The sequence below is a fragment of the Homo sapiens genome, chromosome X (assembly GCF_000001405.40).
Source record: "Homo sapiens chromosome X, GRCh38.p14 Primary Assembly".
NCBI lineage: Eukaryota > Metazoa > Chordata > Mammalia > Primates > Hominidae > Homo > Homo sapiens.
The window spans coordinates 80,769,699-80,791,389 of NC_000023.11; the positions used below are offsets into that span (position 1 = coordinate 80,769,699).

The 21,691-nt window shown below is 37.4% G+C and overlaps 1 protein-coding gene across 4 annotated transcripts in view; it reads right to left on the reverse strand.

The window, feature by feature from the left end:
* BRWD3 (bromodomain and WD repeat domain containing 3) overlaps positions 1-21,691 on the reverse strand; it is a 140,375-nt gene that overhangs the window by 100,196 nt on the left and 18,488 nt on the right. The window lies entirely within an intron of this gene.

Here is a 21,691-nt window from a genome sequence, read left to right on the forward strand (position 1 = left end):
CAAACAAATTCAAAAGTTAGCAGAAGGCAAGAAATAACTAAGATCAGAGCAGAACTGAAGGAGATAGAGAGAGAAAAAAACCTTCAAAAAAAAAAAATCAATGAATCCAGGAGCTGGTTTTTTGACAAGATCAACAAAACCGATAGACCACTAGTAAGACTAATAAAGAAGAAAAGAGAGAAGAATCAAATAGATGCAATAAAAAATGATAAAGGGGATATCACCACTGATCCCACAGAAATACAAACTACTATCAGAGAATACAGTAAACACCTCTATGCAAATAAACTAGAAAAATCTAGAAGAAATGGATAAATTCCTCGACACATACACCCTCCCAAGACTAAACCAGGAAGAACTTGAATCCCTGAATAGACCACTAACAGGCTCTAAAATTGAGGCAATAATTAATAGCCTACCAACCAAAAAAAGTCCAGGACCAGATAGATTCACAGCCAAATTCTACCAGAGGTACTAAGAGGAGCTGGTACCATTCCTTCTGAAACTAGTCCAATCAATAGAAAAAGAGGGAAACCTCCCCAACTCATTTTATGAGGCCAACATCAGCTTGATACCAAAGCCTGGCAGAGACACAACAAAAAAAGAGAATTTTAGACCAATATCCCTGATGAACATCGAAGTGAAAATCCTCAATAAAATACTGGCAAACCGAATCCAGCAGCACTTCAAAAAGCTTATACACCACAATAAAGTTGGCTTTATCCCTAGGACGCAAGGCTGGTTCAGCATACGCAAATCAATAAACATAATCCAGCATATAAACAGAACCAAAGACAAAAACCACATGATTATCTCAATAGATGCAGAAAAGGCCTTTGACAAAATTCAACAACGCTTCATGCTAAAAACTCTCAATAAACTAGGTACTGATCGAACGTATTTCAAAACAATACAAGCTACTTATGACAAATCCACAGCCAATATCATACTGAATGGGCAAAAACTGGAGGCACTCCCTTTGAAAACTGGGACAAGACAGGGATGCCCTCTCTCACCACTCCTATTCACCATAGTGTTGGAAGTTCTGGCCAGGGCAATCAGGCAAGAGAAAGAAATAAAGGGTATTCGATTAGGAAAAGAGGAAGTCAAATTGTCCCTGTCTGCAGATGACATGACTGTGTATTTAGAAAACCCCACTGTCTCAGCCCAAAATCTCCTGAAGCTGATAAGCAACTTCAGCAAAGTCTCAGGATACAAAATCAATGTGCAAAAATCACAAGCATCCCTATACACCAATAACAGACAAACAGAGAGCCAAATCATGAGTGAACTCCCATTTACAATTGCTACAAAGAGAATAAAATACCTAGGAATCCAACTTATAAGGGATGTGAAGGACCTCTTCTAGGAGAACTACAAACCTGCTCAGCGAAATAAAGTAGGACACAAACAAATGAAAGAACATTCCATGCTCATGAATACGAAGAATCAGTATCGTGAAAATGGCCCTACTGCCCAAGGTAATTTATAGATTCAATGCCATCCCCATCAACCTACCAATAACTTTCTTCACAGAATTGGAAAAAACTACTTTAAAGTTCATACGGAACCAAAAAAGAGCCCGCAATGCCAAGACAATCCTAAGCAAAAAGAACAAAGCTGGAGGCATCACACTACCTGGCTTCAAACTATACTACAAGGCTACAATAACCAGAACAGCATAGTACTGGTACCAAAACAGATATATAGACCAATGGAACAGAACAGAGCCCTCAGAAATAACACCACACATCTACAACCATCTGATCTTTGACAAATCTGACAAAAACATGAGATGGGGAAAGGATTCCCTGTTTAATAAATGGTGCTGGGAAAACTGGCTAGCCATATGTAGAAAGCTGAAACTTCATGACTAAAACACCAAAAGCAATGGTAACAAAAGCCAAAATTGACAAATGGGATCTAATTAAACTAAAGAGCTTCTGCACAACAAAAGAAACTACCATCAGAGTGAACAGGCAACCTACAGAATAGGAGAAAATTTTTGCAACCTACCCATCTGACAAAGGGCTAATATCCAGAATCAACAAAGAACTCAAACAAATTTACAAGAGAAAAACAAACAACCCTATCAAAAAGCGGGCAAAGGATATGAACAGACACTTCTCAAAAGAAGACATTTATGCAGCCAAGAGACACATGAAAAAATGCTCATCATCGCTGGCCATCAGAGAAATGCAAATCAAAACCACAGTGAGATACCATCTCACACCAGTTAGAATGGCGATCATTAATAAGTCAGGAAACAACAGATGCTGGAGAGGATGTGGAAAAATAGGAACGCTTTTACACTGTTGGTGGGAGTGTAAACTAGTTCAACCATTCTGGAAGACAGTGTGGCGATTCCTAAACGATCTGGAACTAGAAATACCATTTAACCCAGCAATCCCATTACTGGGTATATACGCAAAGGATTATAAATCATGCTACTATAAAGACACACGCACACGTATGTTTATTGCGGCACTATTCACAATAGCAAAGACTTGGAACCAACCCAAATGTCCATCAATGATAGACCAGATTAAGAAAATGTGGCACATATATACCATAGAATACTATGCAGCCATAAAAAAGTATGAGTTCATGTCTTTTGCAGGGACATGGATACAGTTGGAAACCATCATTCTGAGCAAACTATCATAAGGACAGAAAACCGAACACCGCATGTTCTCACTCATAGGTGGGAATTGAACAATGAGAACACCTGGACACAGGGCGGGGAACATCACACCCTGGGGCCTGTCGTCGGGTGGAGGCCAGGGGAGGGATAGCATTAGGAGAAATACCTAATGTAAATGACGAGTTTATGGGTGCAGCAAACCAACATGGCCCATGTATACGTATGTAACAAACCTGCACATTGTGCACATGTACCCTAGAACTTAAAGTATAATTTAAAAAAAAATAAATGATCCTGAAGAAAGTAATTAAGAACAGAAATTAATAATAAAACTCTAAGAAACAAAAAAAGCCACAAAACATTCAATTACCATATGATCCCCAATTACAAACTTGGGCATTTATCCCAGAAAAATGAAAGTTTGCGTTCACAAATAACCCTTACATAAATGTTCATAGCAGCTTTATTTATAATAGCCAAAAACTGGAATCATCCCAGATGTCCTTCAATTGGTGAATGACCAAACAAACTGTGGGACATCCATACCACAGAATATCACTCAGCAATGAAAAGGAATGAATACTGACACTTGCAACAAATAAGATGAATGATCAGGAAATTATGCTGAGCAAGAGAAAGTTACATAGTGTATAATTCCATTGATAGAACTTTTCTTGAAATGACAGAACTATAGAAATGTAACACAGATTAGTGATTGACAAGATGGGGTAGGGGAGTCACGCAGGAGGGAAGCCGATGTGGTTATAAAAGAGTAACATGATGAATCCTCGTGGACTTAAAACTTCTTTATCTTGACTGTGTTAGTGGATACGCAAGTACTAAAAGTGTACAGAACTTAGCATGCAACATAGATATATACATAAATGAGTACAAGTAAAACTGAGGACATCTGATATGACCACAAGCAATTTCCTGAGTCTTAAGCCAAACATCTCCCGGTGGGCAACCTCAGCACCTTTGTTTCTGCTATTCCTTTAGCCTTATGCCCACCTCTGTCATTTCAACCTATCAATATCCTTTTTATTCTTGGAGGCATAGGCTAAAATTGCATGCTTTTTCATGAAATCTTTCTCAATCACGTCAGCTAAACATGAACTCTCCTGCTTCAGTTCTAGCCCTTACTATGGTATATCTTATATTAGTTACATATTTCTGATTTAAGATTTTAAGCATTTGAAAATAAGGATTAATGTGTAACTATCAGCACTAAGCTAACTAAGCTAGCTCAGTCCCTTGGATAGGCACTCAGGTATTAACATCCAACCATAATTCCTACTCTTCCAGGGCATAAATTCTCCACTTGAAATAGACGGTCTCCTCCTCTATCCTATGCAGGTATCTTCTCACCTGGAATGCTCCATTTCTCAAGTTACAATGAACCCTTCAAAGTTATCTCAAAGGTCATTTATTCCTTGAAGTCTTCCCATGTTTTTCTTAATCCGTTTCATCTCTCCTTCTTGCAATGCCCATTACACTTTGTACTTTCCTTAAATCACTTAGTTTAAGTCCTGTACTACAATCACATTCTGGCATCTGCCTAACCTTCTCCAAAGAGTAAATTCCTTCACAGCAACAACTGCCCTGAACACTTTGGAAAATGCTTTACATATATTTGGTGTTCACGTATTTGCTGAATTGAATAAAACTTACTTCTAGAAAGTTAAGTAATATTATCATTCAACCTTATAACACCATTGATAAATATAAATGCCATAGAGTAAGTTCTATAGGAAATGTTAATCAACTCTGTAATTCTCTTATGACTTACAAGATATCATTTCTGATTCCCCCTGCCTCTCTATACCTTGCTTCTTAGTTTCGCATATATATTTTTGTTCTATCCTGACCCACCTTTATTGAAATGCTGATGGTTCCTTCAGATTTTTTTTATTTTTTTATTTTTTTATTTTTTATTTTTTTTGAGACAGGGTCTTGCTCTGTCACCCAGGCTGCAGTGTACTGGCACATCGGCTCACTGCAGCCTCAACCTCTTGAGCTCCAGAGATCTTACCTCAGCTTCCCAAGTTTCTGGGACTACAGGTGTGTGCCACCATGCCCAGCTAATTTTCTTCCAGGTTCCTTCAGATTCTATCCAGGTCTCTCTTCTCCATCCTCACACAGTTCCTGAGTGATCTTACCTACTCACATACTAATTACTGCCAATCTTTATCTGTAACCTCTATTTTCAACCTTAGCTCCAGGCCTACATTTTCAACTACCTAATGGACAACCATCCCGTCTTACCTGGATGTATCATAAAGGAAGATTTCCCAAATCAAGTTTATTAGCCTTCAATCACAAGTTTTCTATAATCTCCCTTTCCTCAACTTTGGGACTAACAGATTATTTTTTATTCTTCCTCTTTTATGTCCTGTATCCAACCAAACTGTATTATTAATCCCACCTCCAAAATCTTGCTTGAATCAATCCAATTACCTCCATTTCTATCACTACCATCTCCACATTCATTTTCTGTCTATATCTATAGTAACAGTCTTGCCTCTGGTTTCCCTACCTGCCTCTCCAGTTTCTCTCCTCTCCAGTTTATCATATACTCTACTTTATGTGTTACCTTTTCAAAATAAAATTCTCATCATATGATTTTCCTATTCAAAAACATCCAATGATTCCTCAATTATCAATAGGATAAAATCTAAACTCATTATTCATGTAGACCAGGGGCTGGCAAACTAAGGACCATGGACCAAATGTAACCCACCATCTTTTTGTACATGCAATTTTATTGGAAAACAGCCATGCTCATTCATTTACATATTATCTATGGCTGTTTTCACAGCAACAGAGTTGAGTAATTGCAACTGAGACCAAATGTTCCAGAAAGCCAAAAACATTTACTATCTGGCCCTTTACACAAAAAATTTGCAGACTCCTGGCATAGAGGATGTAGAATAATTGGGCCCCTACCTCCCTTTCCAGTCTCAACTCCCATCACAAACTCTAAGCCTTTGTTATGTCAAACAGGGTATTCTCCTCTTAATAAAACCACTACTTATTTTTCAAGGGGCTTTACTTGACACAATTGGGGCCCAGAGTATATTGAATAAAATTATGGCTTTTTACCAATTCCTATCATATTATCTCATGTCTTATTTAAAACACATACAAACCTATGATTGTAAACAGAAATCAGAGGATGGAAACTACTTGGGCAAGTGACAGCAAATATGTGTATTGTAAAGATTGCAGAACACTTAAAATAGCTGACAAGAGGTTCTATCATGACAACTAAAAAACACCTTTTACTTTGGCAGGATACTTTTGTGCAAAGAGCACTAGATTTGAAGTCAAAGCACTTAGGTCTAATACTTAAGTTTGGATATTAGAGTCCCAGTATTGTTGCATATGAGCTACATAGTCTTTTCATAAAGATAACACAAACACTGAATTTTTAATCTGAGTCACTATTATCATTACCAATATTATCAGCATCTGTGATCCAATACCATAATTACAAATTATATTTTCATAACATTTTAAAGCTTATAAAGTATTCACAGACATCTCATTTGAGTTCACAGTAGTCTTGTGAGATTTGAAGGCAAGTTTCTTCCCTTTGTAAATAAAGAAATTAAGGCCCAAAGAAACTAAGTGTGCTGCCTAACATCACAGAGTCAAAAAATAGCAGAGGCTCAATCTAGGTCTCCTGATTCTAGTTTAATAGTCTTCCCACTTTTCAATGTTGTCTATTTAATGACATTTTACAAAATGTAATCTGCTGTGAGCCTGCAATAAGAAATAATTTAACAGCAAAAATTATACATAATATCCCTCGATCTTACCTCCACCTGAGAGACAACACCATTAGCAAAGGCTCTGGCTTCAACTAAATTTGGTTCTACTGAAAAGCTCATCAAGATCCAAAGAGTATTCCAAGATGGTCACATCAGAGTTGTTAGACCACTAACTAGTCCAGTCATTATTTACATTAGAAAAAAAATATGTTTGTATTACAACTATTTCACACAGGCATGAAACTTCAAACCGATGTCAGAAAAATGTTTCTAGGCTAAAATAAAGGATTTTCAACTCAACAGACTAAGAACATTCAGGAAAGTCCTTAAGTAAAATTAATAACAAAATGTTATATATTGACCACTGCTTTTGAAACATTTATAAGACTACATGTTAAAGAGTCAAAATCTATCCAGGACTGAAAGAGTGAATATCAGCTAGGACTGAAAAAAGAAAAAAGCAACCATGCAATTAATCAGGCTTGGGAGGACAGACATAGATAAAACCAGCTGCAAAATTAACAGGAAACATTGTTTTTCCTAAGGTCATGTGGCAGTTGTAAAATATCATGAAGACTCCCTCTCGAGTGATTACTGCTTTCTTACCAACAATGTCCCCGGACCCGCTTTGCTATTTTCACTTATTACCAGAGGGAGATACCCAGTTCCTAAACTGTCCTTGCTTCATGATGGTACCCGATCCGTAGTTAATTCCCACTTGTTCCAATTTGCCTCAGTTAACAGCCACCAATCTAGAACTGATCCTGGCTTCCATCAGACCCTCCTCAGAATACTTTAATGTAAAACAAACTTTACAAAAAGTACTTCCCTCATCCCTCTTATCCAGAGGCCTTTCATTGTTACTTGGGAGTTTACTCGCTCACTATACATAAATACATCTGATTTTCTCAGACTACAGGCTAATTCTTAGTGGTCCTTAGTTGATTATGCTTAAACAAAAAAAAAAAATGCATTTTGAATTATCCTACAGATTCAGCAGTTTCCTATCAAGAAAAGCACTCTTAAGACCCCCCCCCACGAAAAACCTCCTGAGCCTAAACCAGAAAATCACTAACCACGACAGAATTTTACTCCCAAGAAAGATGAGTAACTCACTGAATTCTGTTTATTATCACAGGAAATATTCTGATCAATAATGCTAAGAGACATAGGACTTAACCAAAGCCAGGTAACTATCATATCTGCTGGGAAAGAGTTTATCATCAAATTGGCACCAAGTTCAGATAAAACTAGAAGTATACAAATTAGTGGTATTATTATTATTTTTTCTTTTTGAGACAGGGTCTCACTCTGTCACCCTGACTGTAGTGCAATGGCCTGAACACAGCTCACTGCAGCCTCAACCTCCTTGGCTCAAGTGATCCTACTGCCTCAGACTCCTAAGTAGCTGGGACTATAGGCACACAGCACCACACCTGGCTAATTTTTTATTGTTTAATTTTTGTAGAGACAGGGTCTCACCACGCTGCCCAGGCTAGTCTCGAACTCCTGGGCTCAAGTGATCCTCCAGCACTGGCTCCCAAACTGTTGGGATTACAGGCACGAGCCACCATGGCCGGCCTCTGATTTTTTTAATACAAATGAATAACATAACTCTTGGGCAATTTTATCTGTTACCTGCAATCATTAAAGTTATCCATAGTATATATGAAATCCTTATGTAATTTTCTAATTTTTTTAGTTTTTAATTTTTTGGTTAGAGGTGGGATCCCACTTTGTTGCCCAGGCTGGTCTTAAATTCCTGGGCTAAATGGGTCCTCCATCCTAGGCCTCCCAAAGTGCTAGATGACAGGCTTCAGCCATCACACACAGCCTAAGTTTTAAATTTTAATATAAATTATATAAAAATAGATTGTTTCCAATTTTTCAATAAATGGCATTGAAAGAGAAACCAAATTATTTTGGCCATAGGTCAAGCTAACTTCATAAACATAGTAGCCACATTTCAGCTACTACAAGGTAAGAAATAAGATCCTATTGTGTTTTAAGCTTTAAAAAACTCAAGAGTTGAAAAGTGCCTTGTTACCAAGTCTTTGGAAAATAGAAAATCTAGCTATTTTAAAGAATAATAATCTCAATCCAACTTTAGTAGGCCAGAATTTTGGGGGCTAGGACAAAAACATTATTACCAAAATAATGTTCAAATATGATGCTTACAAGATTAAGAAAATCCTGTAACCAACTTCAAGACAAAGTTTTAAACTTCTAAGAAACAGTAGCTGCACATCTACCTCAATTTTAAGTCAAGAATATGGAGGTGCAGTGGGGGATGAAGCAAGGAGAGGAGTGCCTTCAGCAAAAGATTAAGACTGAATCAAAAATAGTACAAGGCTCAGCCAATAACTACTGACCAAATATAGTCTTAAAGCTGTACAGACATAGGGCAGAAAGGACTACTGTTCATAGATCAGGCTTCTTGTACCATACCTATCATCATCAATATCCTCATCTTCAAATACAAAGAGTTTTTCAGAAAACAAGCTGTACGTAATTAAGCAGAGCTAAAATAACCTTGGATTCGTATTTTCTCTTTTACAAAAAAATAACCTGGTCAACATTAGTTTTATTTTTAAAAAATTTGGCCAGGCACGGTGGCTCACACCTGTCATTCCAGCACTTTGAGAGGCCAAGGCAGGTGGATCACTTGAGGTCAGGAGTTTGAGACCAGCCCAGCCAACATGGTGACACCCTGTCTCTACTAAAAACACAAAAATTAGCTGAGCGTGGTGGTGCACACCTGTAATCCCAGCTACTTGGCAGGTTGAGGCATGAGAATTGCTTGAACCTGGGAGGTGGAGTTTGCAGTCAGCCAAGATGGTGCCATTGCACTCCAGCCAGGGCAATAGAGCAAGACTCCATCTCAAAAACAAACAATTTAATTAGAAAACAGAACGTGGTCGGGCATGGTGGCTCATGCCTGTAATCCCAGCACTTTGGGAGGCCGAGGCAGGTGAATCAACTTAGGTCAGGAGTTCAAGACCAGCTTGGTCAACATGGTGAAACCCCATCTCTACTAAAAATACAAAAAATTAGCTGGGCGTGGTGGCGCATGCCTGCAATCCCAGCTACTCAGGAGGCTAAGGCAGGAGAATCGCTTGAACCCAGGAGGTGAAGGTTGCAGTGAGTCGAGATTGTGCCACTGCACTCCAGCCTGGGCAACAAGGGAGAAATTCTGTCTCAAAAAAAAAAGTAAGAAAATAGAATGTATGCAATCCTCTGATTGGTTAAAGTGTAGTAAGCATATTAGTTTCTATTAAGTAGAGAGGACAATAATAGACTAAGAAAATACTGCCAAAAACACTGGAAAGTGGCCAGGTGGAGCGGTTCATGCCTGTAATCCCAACACTTTGGGAAGCAAAGCAGATCGCTTGAGGTCAGAAGTTCAAGACCAGCCTGGGCAACCCTGTCTCTACAAAAAAAATAAAAAAATTAGCCAGGCATGGCAGTACATGCCTGTAGTCCCAGCTAGTTTTTGGTGAAGCTTCGTTGGGGGTTTCCTAAAATAACTCCAACAACTAAACAGATTAATATAGACTAAAATCTTGAAAGAAGCCACGAAAGCGACAAAAATGAATATGAATAAAATGTGATAATTCTAGTAAAATTACAAAGGTATAGAATTACTTCTTTCATGGATTTGATTCTATGGATCAAATTATGTCTCTAAAACCTTAACCAGCAATAGTAAAAGTATACAGTCTCCAAAGTTGATGCCAATCACATCTCATAACACCAATCCACAGTAAAACTTAAATAACACTAATAAGTTCTACAGGCTATTGATATTCATATTCATGGCCATTGAACATCTTTTTGCTAGGGTAATATTAAGTGAAATATGGCAAAGAAATATTATTTACAATTCCTTTCAGGCTTTCTGCAAAGTTCACTTATATAATTTGGAATGATAAACATCCCAAATCTTTATTTTTTTTAAATCCTCTCCTAAACTTTTTAACTTAATTTGGTTAATATACACAGAAGTTTCAGACTGCCTTTTCCTCCAACTAAACAAACCTGGCACTGTTTTACCTCTTCCCTTTGTGAAGCATAAAGTTCTATCTCTATAAAGTACTGAGTTAAACATATAGAACAAATATCAAAAGATTAATACTTTGGTGTATACTGAAAGAAAAATCTAAAGGAATAATAATGAGGAAAGAAAAAACATGTTCATACTAGGATTAAATGGAGAAAATACTTTTTTCATTATATTTTATATAATAAAATAAGCCCTCATATAATAAAATCTGTTTCATTTTTTAAAAAGATACTAAATTATTAATCCTAATATTACTACAATACTGATTTCAGAAATGGATATAAGGGGCTAGAAACACATATAGGCTATATAAAACCATAAACACATCTTAAAAGGATACTTCAGTTTCCATGTGGCAACAATCATAGCACTTCCATCTATTTAATATTTAGTGAGCACTTACAATGTGGAAAATACAAAAGATGGAGTTTATATTCCAGTTTAATTACTTGCAGGTGTGACAAGAATCTCTTGATCTTCTCCAGGTATATAAAAGTAATGGCTTCAGAAGCAACTCACTTCAGGCACAATTATGAGAGTACAAAGAGGAGGAAGGTGGTAAGTAGAGTGAGGCAGGCCACAAAAAGCAAAACCTAGCAAAAGTATGATACATAGGCAAGATATAGGAACTACATAAAATTAGAGAGGGTGACAAATATTCCTGGCAGAAACCCAGTCACCTCAGCCAGATAAACAGTTTAAATTAGACTACTTTCTTTCCATTTACATTTACATATAAACAAGAGATAGATTCCTCACCTCCAAGTGAATTCTGGCATGAAGAGTGACATATAACGACACAATGGCCAATAAGTCAAGAGTCAATCAATGCTAAATAAAAGCTTAGAGCAACACGTAAATATTAATTTGGCTTTAGAATTAATGCAAGGGTCCTGAGCTGTATACAGTGTAAATTACAAGCTTACTATGTAAATTACAGGATATTGCTATATGCCAATTGTACTAAAGATAAAAAACAAAATTCTTTTTTTTTGAAGTTGCAAGATTTAATAGAGTGAAAACAGAGCTCCCATAAAATGGGAGGGGACCCAAAGGGGGTTGCCGTTGCTGGCTCGAATGCCTGGGTATATCCCGATCATTGTCCCTCCCCGTGTGCTCTCAGGCGATAGATGAGTGGCTATTTCTTTATCTTCTGTTTTTGCCTAATTAGGATTTGAGTGAGCTATTTTTACTACCTGATTGGTCACGTGTGAGCTAAGTTGCAAGCCCCTTGTTTAAAGGTGGATGTGGTCACCTTCCCAGCTAGGCTTAGGGATTCTTAGTCGGCCTGGGAAATCCAGCTAGTCCTGTCTCTCAGTCCCCCCTCTCAACAAGAAAACCCAAGTGCTGTTGGGGAGGTTGGCCGATGACTGCTCTAACTGCTTCCTGCTGAACTGGGGCATAGTAGGGGTCGTGCAGTTGAGATTTCCTCGGGAAAAAAATGTTTAAAAATACAGTCTTATTGCATCATACCCTTGCCTCAGTTTAGAAATATAAGCATGCATACAAAAATCAGTAGCATTTCTATATGCCAACAGAGCACAATATGAAAAGGAAATCAAGAAAGTAATCCCATTTAGTATAGCTATAAATAAAATAAAATACCTAGGAATAAACCTAACCAAAGAAGAGAAAGATCTCTACAATGAAAACTATAAAACACTGATGAAAGAAATTGAAGATACAAAAAAAGGAAAGATATTCCATATTCATGAATTATAAGAATCATTATTGTTAAAATGTCCATTCTACTCAAAGTAATCTACAGATTCAACGCAATCCCGATCAAAATACCAATGACATTCTTCACAGAAATAGAAGAAATAATCCTAAAATGTATATGGAACCACAAAAGACCCAGAATAGATGACACCATCCTGAGCAAAAATAATAAAACTGGAGAAATCACTTACCTGATTTCAAATTACACTACAGGGCTATTGTATCCAAAAACAGTATGGTACTGGCATAAAAACAGAAACATAGGCCAATGGAACAGATTAGAGAACTGAGAAATAAATCCATATGTCTTAAGTGAACTGATTTTCAACAAAGGTCCCAAGAACACATATTGGAAAAAGGACAATCTCTTCAATAAATGGTGCTAGGAAAATTGGATACCCATATGCAGAAGAATGAAACGAGACCCCCTATCTCTCGCCATATACAAGAATCAAATCAAAATGGGTTGAAGACTTAAATTTAAGACCTCAACCTATGAAACCACTAAAAGAAAACATCGGTGAAACTCTCCAGGACATTGGACTGGGTAAGGATTTCTGATTTGTTGACTAATACCCCAAAAGCACAGGCAACCACAGCAAAAAAAGTTTGTGCACAACAAAGGAAACAATCAACAAAATGAAAAGACAACCCAAATAATGAGAAAAAATATTTACAAAGTATCCATCTGACAAAGGATCAATAACCAGAATATAGCCAGGCACAGTGACTCACGCCTGTAATTCCAATACTTTTGGGAGGCAGAGGTGGGAGGATCACTTGAGGCCAGGAGTTTGAAACCAGACTGGTTAACACAGTGAGACCCTATCTCTACAAAAATATATATATTTTAATTATCCAGAAGTGGTGGTGCATGCTTATAGTTCCAGCTAATCAGGAAGCCGAGGCAGGAAGCTCACTAGGAGTTCGTGGCTGCAGTGAGCTATGGTTGAACCAGTGCACTCCAGCCTCGATGACAGAATAAGGCAAGACCCTATTTAAAAATAAATAAATAAAAATAACCAGAATGTAAAAGGAGCTCAAACAACTCAATAGAAAAAAAAAATCTAATAATCCAATTTAAAAATGGGCAAAAGATCTGAATAGACATTTCTCAAAAGAAAATATACAAATGGCAAACAGGCATATGAAAAGGTGCTCAACATCATGGATCATCAGAGAAATGCAAATCAAAACTATGAGGGGCGGGTGCAGTGGCTCATGCCTGTAATTCCAGCACTTTGGGAGGCAGAGGCAGGCAAATCACCTGAGGTCAGGAATCTAAGACCAGCCTGGCCAACGTGGTGAAACCCCATCTCTACCAAAAAATACAAAAATTAGCCAGGCATAGTAGTGCACACCTGTAGTCCCAGCTACTAGGAGGCTGAGGTGAAAGAAACACTTGAACCCGGGAGGCAGAGGTTGCAGTGAGATGAGATCGCACCACTGCACTCCAGCCTGGGTGACAGAGTGAGACCCTGTCTAAAAAAAAAAAAAAAAAATCCAAAAGACATGCAATAATAAATGCTGGTGAGGTTTTGGAGAAAAGGGAACCCTTGTACACTCTTGGTGGAAATGTACATCAGTATAGCCACTATGGTTAACAGTATGGAAGCTCCTCAAAGAACTAAAAATAGGACTACCATATAATTCAGTGATCCTACTGCTAGGTATATACCCAAAAGAAAGCAAAACAGTATATTGAAGAGATATCTGCACTCCCATGTCTATTGCAGTACTATTCACAGTAGCCAAGATTTTGAAGTAACCTAAGTATCCAACACCAGACAACTAGACAAAGAAAATGTGGTATTTATACGCAATGGAATACTATTCAGACATAAAAAAAAATGAGATCCTGTCATTTATAACAACATGGCTAGTACTGGAGAACGTTATATTAAGTGAAATAAGCCAAGCACAGAAAGACAAACTTTACATCTTCTCACTCATTTGTAGGAGCTAAAAATTAAAACAATTAAACTCATGGAAATAGCAGAATGATGGTTACCAGAGGCTGGGAAGGATAGTGGGAAAGAGCGGGGAAGTGGGGATGGTTAATGCGTAAAAAAATATAGTTAGATACAATGAGTAAGATCTAGTATTTGATAGTACAACAGGGTGATTAGAGTCAAGAATAATTTATTGTACATTTTTAAATAACTAAAAATATAATTGGAATGTCTGTATAACACAAAGAAAGGCTAAATGCTTGAGGTGATGGGCACCTCATTTACCTTCAGGTGATTATTACACATTGTATCCCTGTACAAAATATCTCACATACCCAACAAATATACACATCTACTATGTACCTATAAAAACCAGAAATTGATTATCAGTCTCAAATGAATGAGCCATCCTGCTACCATTTCTAGGTAATTTTATAAAAACTGTTTAGATTATGATAATTAGGAAAATTCCTAAAATTGTTACCATGATGGATAGTATCAACAATACTAGTTCTTCAAATAAACATTAAACACACTTTTTTTTATTTTAAGTTCTGGGATACATGTGCAGAACGTGCAGGTTTGTTACATAGGTAAATATGTACCATGGTGGTTTGCTGCACTTAACCCGTCACCTAGGTATTGAGTCCCACATGCATTAGCTATTTCTCCTGATGCTTTCCCTTCCCTCACCCCCACAAGAGGCCCTGGTGTGTGTTGTTCCCCCGCCCTGTGTCCATATGTTCTCATTGTTCAGCTCCCACTTATGAGTGAGAACATGCAGTGTTTGGTTTTCTGTTCCTGTGTTAGTTTGCTGAGGATGATAGCTTCCAGCTTCATCCATGTCCCTGCAAAGGACGTGATCCCATTCCTTTTATATGGCTGCATAGTATTCCATGGTGTATATGTACCTTTTCTTTATCCTGCCTATCATTGATGGGCATTTGGGTTGGTTCCATGTCTTTGCTATTGTGAATAGTGCTGCAATAAACATATGTGTGCCTGTATTTTTAAAATAGAATGATTTGTATTCCTTTGGGTATATACCCAGAAATGGGATTGCTGGGTCAAATGGTATTTCTGGTTCTAGAACCTTGAGGAATCATCACAGTCTTCCACCATGGTTGAACTAAAACATACTTTTAAAACTACTTCTGTACTCACAAGCCAGCTCAGCAGCAGAACTGTCTGTGTGAAATTTTAACTTCAAATTCTAGTGTAACTATGGCAAAGTTTCTAAAATGAATATTAATCTTTAAAATGACGAAGAAATAGTAATAGGTGATAGTGTAAGACCTCAAACAATACCACAAATATTAATTACATATGCCTCAGAATTTCCTTGAGTGGCATTAAGTATTAACACTATTTTGAATTTAGCTCAATTTTCTTCTTCTGATTTAATTTTGGTACAATACAAAACCAATTTGATTAGTCAAGCATACAGCTAATGAAATGGCATGACTGGCACTTAGAACTAAAATAATGTAAATATCACAGATATTTTTGCTCTTGCCATAAGAAATCTAGAAATTCACCCTTGGTAAATGTAAGTACACATGTATTTTAAAGTGTTACAGTAGTTAGTGTGGAGAATAGAATCTGGGAATTAACTCTCAAATTCCTTCCTTATGCTCCCTTACCTTCATTTCATTAAACTACTAAATAACTTTTTTGATTAACTATACGAACGACGGAAACATTTGAATAAATACTCCAACATAGTGCAAAGTCCAGATAAGGTCAGAATTTTATTGTTTTTGGCCAAAGTCTGTTGTAAAACTTTCATAGAAAAGAACTGGCACAATTCAATCTTTAAAGTGAGTCGCTAAAATCAAGATATGAACAGCTAAAAGTAGTTTCTAAGGATAAAAATAGGAAACTTAAAAATCAGGCCAGGCGCAGTAGTTCACACCTATAATCCTAGCACTTTGGGAGGCCAAGGCAGGCAGATGACCTGGGATCTGGAGTTTGAGACCAGCCTAGCCAACATGGCAAAACCCTGTCTCTACTAAAAACACAAAAAAGTTAGCCAGGCATGGTGGCAGGAGCCTGTAATCCCAGTTACTTGGGAGGTTGACGCAGGAGAATCACTTGAACCCAGAAGCGGGGGTTGCAGTGAGCCAAGATAGTGCCACTGCACTCCAGCCTGTGCAACAGTGCAAGACTCTGTCTCAAAAGAAGAAAAAAGAAAATCAAATTTGTAAAATAAGTAAATTAACTATCAAATTATGCACCTATCCAGAGTAGCTTACCTGTTCCCATATTACTCTAGATCCACACTATCCAATATAGTGGCCACTAGCCACATGTGGTTGCTGAATGTCAAATTACTTAAAATTAAATAAAATAAATATTTAATTTCTCAGTTGCAATCATCTCCATTGTCACAGAAGGTTCTACTGGGTAGCACTGTTTTATATAAAATACCAGTTAAAATATGCCCTGAAAAATTACTGATATAATTCCAAATATAATGGGAAGAATGAAAAGAGGGACATGTCCATTTATTATACAAATTCTATGCATAGTGGCAAGAGAAGGGAACATCCTCAAACTGAAAAAAGGGCATTTATCATTATACTTAATGGTGAAAGATGATCTGTTTTCACCCTATGATCAGGTACAAGGCAAACCTGTACACTCTCACCCTTTTAATTTGCCTATATATATATATATATGGAGTCTTGCTCTGTCGCCCAGGCTGGAATGCAGTCAGTCGTGCAATTTTGGCTCACAGCCACCTCCACCTCCGAGGTTCAAGTGATTCTCCTGCCTCAGCCTCCCAAGTAGCTAGGATTACAGGCATGCACCACCAAGCCAAGCTAATTTTTATATTTTTAGTAGAGAGGGGGTTTCACCATGTTAGCCAACCTGGTCTCAAACTCCTGACCTGATGTGCCCGTCTCGGCCTCCCAAAGTGCTGGAATTACAGGCGTAAGCCACAGCGCCCAGCCTAATCCACCGTGCCCGGCCTAATCCACCATTGTAGTAAAGGCACTAGCAGCTCAATAATTTAAGAAAAAGAAATAGAAGGCACACAAAATCAGAAAGGAAAAAGTAAATCTGTCTTTATTTGCAGACAACAGGGTTATCTATATAAAGAATCCCAAAGAATCTCAAGGGAAAAAAGTCATTAAACCTAGTAAGTAAATGTACTGAGGTCAATATACAGAAAAACAAAACAAAACAAAAAGAAAAAAAAAACATTTCTATCTACTAGCAACAAACTGAAAATCAAAAATCTTAAAAATACAAATTAAAACTATATAAAAACCATAAAATCCTTAGGGAAAATTTCCACAATAGATGTGTTAAGACCTGAACACTGAAAACTACAAAACGCTGCTATGAGAAATTAAAGATTTACAAAAATAAAGAGCTATACTACGTTCCTGGATTAGAAGGCTCAATGCTGTCAAGATATCAGTTATTCTAAAATGTCTCTATACATTCAGTGCAATCCCAAGCAAAAACTCAGTACCTTCTTTTTGGGGAAATTGAGAAGCTGATTCTAAAATTTAGGTGGAAATGCTAAGGAACAGAAAAACCAAAACAATTTTTTGAAAATGAGAGCAAAGTTGGAAGACTCAGACAGCAGAGTCCAGAAAGACTCATACATACATGGTTAAATGCTTTTTGACAAATGTGCCACGATAATCCAATGGGGAAAAGGATGGCCTTTTCAACAAATGATACTGGAATTAGACACCCATATGCAAAAAAAAAAAAAAAATGAATTCAATCTAAACCACACACCTGATATAAAAATTAAAATGATCAAAAGTCTAAATATACAACAAAACTATAAAACTTCTAGAATATAAGAGAAAATCTCTGTGAGCATGAGTTAGGCAAAGATTTATTCAAACACAAAAAGTACAGTCTTAAAGACAAAATTGATAAATTAGACTTCAGCAAAAATTTCTGTTCTTTGAAAGACACTGGTAGGCCGGGCGTGGTGGCTCACGCCTGTAATCCCAGCACTTTGGGAGGCCGAGGCAGGCGGATCATGAGGTCAGGAGATCGAGACCATCCTGACTAACACGGTGAAACCCTGTCTCTACTAAAAATACAAAAAATTAGCTGGGCGTGGTGGCGGGCGCTTGTAGTCCCAGCTACTCGGGAGGCTGAGGCAGGAGAATGGCGTGAACACAGGAGGCGGAGCTTGCAGTGAGCCGAGACTGCGCCACTGCACTCCAGCCTGGGTGACAGAGCGAGACTCTGTCTCAAAAATAAATAAATAAATAAATAAATAAATAAATAAATAAATAAATAAATAAAGACACTGGTAATAAAATAGGGCCAGGGACAGTAGCTCATGCTTGTAATCCCAGGGGGAGGCCGAGGCAGGTGATTGCTTCAGCCCAGGAGTTTGAGACCAGCCTGGGCAACAAAGCTAGACCCCATCTCAATTTAAAAAGATGGGGGCAGGGAGGGGAGGAGACAACTGCACATTGAGAGAAAATATTTGCAAAATACAAAGGATTTGTACCCAAAATATATAAAGAACTCTCAAAACTCAATAATAAAAAAACGCAAACAACTCAATTTAAAAAATGGGTGAATACTTCACTAAAGATCTACAGACTGGCAAATATGCACATGAAAAGATACCAACCGACAGTATCAGAAGATGGTGAGAATGTGGGACAACTAGAAATCTCATATATTGCTGATGGGAATACAACATATAATAGCTACTTTCACAACAGTTCGGCAGTTTCTTATAAAGTTAAAGTTGTATTTAACATATGATCCAACAACTGTACTACCTATTTACCCAAAGAAATGAAGAAAGATATTCATGCAAAGACCTGTACATGAATATTTATAATAGCTTTATCCATAATAGGCAAAATTATTGAACAGATTATGGTAAATTCATAGAATGGAATGCTACTTGGTAATAAAAAGAAATGAACTACTGACACATGAAATGACACGCATGAATTTCAAAAGCACTGGTCTAAGTGAAATCAGACAGACATAAAAGGCTACTTACTACCTGATTTAATTTAGATGACATTTTAAATAACATGAAGTATAGTCAGTCACAGAAAGATTAGTGGTTTCCAGGGGTTGAGCAAACGATACTGAGGCTGATAAAAATGTTCCATATTTTATTGTAGTGGTGGTTACACAAAAATGTATACAATTTGTCAAAACTTATTGAACTGCACACTTAAAAAGACAGCCTTTTATGTCAATAATATCCTAATACAGTTGACTTAAAAAAAGTACCATGGCTAATACTCTATCTTTGGAGCTCTCTAGGTATAAATCTGTCATACCAAGAAAATATGGTGACATCTGACCATGAATATGACAGATAGTCTATTTAGAAGACAAGCAATATAACTTAGGCCAATCAAATAACTTCTCTGAGCTTTGGGTTTCTCTGCTGCAAACAGAAGGGTTTATAACCAAGTTCCCCAAATCTGTTCCCAGGAACTTACAGGATCTTTGGATCTGTTTCCAGGATCTTAATAGATATTCTGGAAAGAGTTTCCATGCTTAAATTTTTTTTTTCTTTTTTTTGAGACGGAGTCTCGCTCTGTCGCCCAGGCTGGAGTGCAGTGGCGCGATCTCGGTTCACTGCAAGCTCCGCCTCCCGGGTTCACGCCATTCTCCTGCCTCAGCCTCCCCAGTAGCTGGGACTACAGGCGCGTGCCACCACGCCCAGCTAATTTTTCGTATTTTTTAGTAGAGACGGGGTTTCACCATGTTAGCCAGGATGGTCTCGATCTCCTGACCTCGTGATCCACCCACCTCGGCCTCCCAAAGTGCTGGGATTACAGGCGTGAGCCACCCCGCCTGGCCTCCATGCTTAAATTACTTGGGAAATGCTCCCTATAAGGTGAGCAATGCATTTTAACATATGAAAAGCTACGAAAAGTACACCATTCATTTAACTTTTCCCCATTTTTAAAAAGCTGTTTGCCACATTTACTTGACCATGGAACTCCTTTTTTTTTTTTTTCCGAAAAACTGTCAATTCTTTATAGTTCTAAGATTCAACAGAACTTTCAAGAGGATATACCAGGCAGGCGTGGTGGCTCACACCCATAATCCCAGCACTCTGGGAGACCAAGGCGGGTGGATCACTTGAGGCCAGGAGTTCAAGACCAGCCTGGCCATCATGATGAAGCCCCATCTCTACTAAAAATACAAAATACAAAAATTAGTCGGATGTGGTGGTGCATGCCTGTAATCCCAGCTACTCAGGGGCTGAGGCAGAAGAATCGCTTGAACGAGGGAGTGGGGAGGTTGCAGTGAGCAGAGATTGTGCCGATGCACTCTAGCCTGAGTGACAAGAGACAACAGTGAGACTCTGTCTCAAAAAAAAAAAAAAAAAAAAAAAAAGATATACCTTCATGATTAAATTTTGTTTAGATTGGCAACCTATAAAACTGATTGGTTTGAAAGTAGCTATAGAGAACTATGACCCACAAAGAGAAAACTGCCTCAAATCACAAACTGGAAAGATTTCATATCCATCTTAGTGAGTTTTTGTCAGGCTTTGAATTCTAAATAACTTAAACTTAAGCATCTTGAGTACCAGTTACTACATGAAAATACATCATGATCGAATTGCCTCTGTTCTAAAAGCTCCTCCCCAAATAACATGCCAGATTTAAAATGAATTTAAAAACATCAGTGCCAGGGCCATGACAATTCCTAAGCAATTACTAAAAGAATAACAAACGGATTCAAATCAGTGTAAAGAGTTTATTTTACAAAACCAGCAGAAGTTTGAAAGTATATGCTTAGTTAAAAGAAAAAAAAAGCGAGAGAAGGGAAGAAGGGATAAAGAAAGCCTGTAAACCTAATATTGTAATGGTTGCTCTTCAGCATTTCACATGTGACCCATGAAGCATAACACACTACAAAATAATGTTGACAGTATAGCTAAAAATACTGTATTTTGAAAATAAGTAAATGCATGAATAACAAAAGTTATCTCAATTCAATATATTAATTATGACTAAAGCTTTAAGGCAAAGTGAACACTGGAAAATTCTGGTGGATAAACAAACAACTCTTGGAAAAAAAAAAGTTAGCAATACCATGTTCAATGAGACTCAACTTTTCCAAGTAACATCCAAGCTATGGAAAAGTATTTTTAGCAATATACTTCAGAGTATCCAATTTCCCTGAATAAGTCCTATGTATGTCTAATCAATGATTTTGTCTAAATATATCTTAAGAAATATTTCTAGCTTCAATTTACTTAACCTCTGAGGCTAAACTACATAAGCTTAATGTATAAGAAGTATTCCTTTTAAAAAAGTATTCATATTTTTCTATCTGAAATTCATCCCTTTCAAATTATAGGCATATTCTGTAGGCACTATATATAAAATAACGTAATTTTTTAGAAGAGCGAGAAAGTAATGGAGCAGAGGAGCAATTACTCACCCAGCACCTTGGTTTTGCACATACTTTGTGAGGGCGAACTTTAATATAAATAGTTTTGTATCTAGATCTCTTTGGGAACCACTACTAGTATTTCTTCATAATGGTCTGGCCAGAG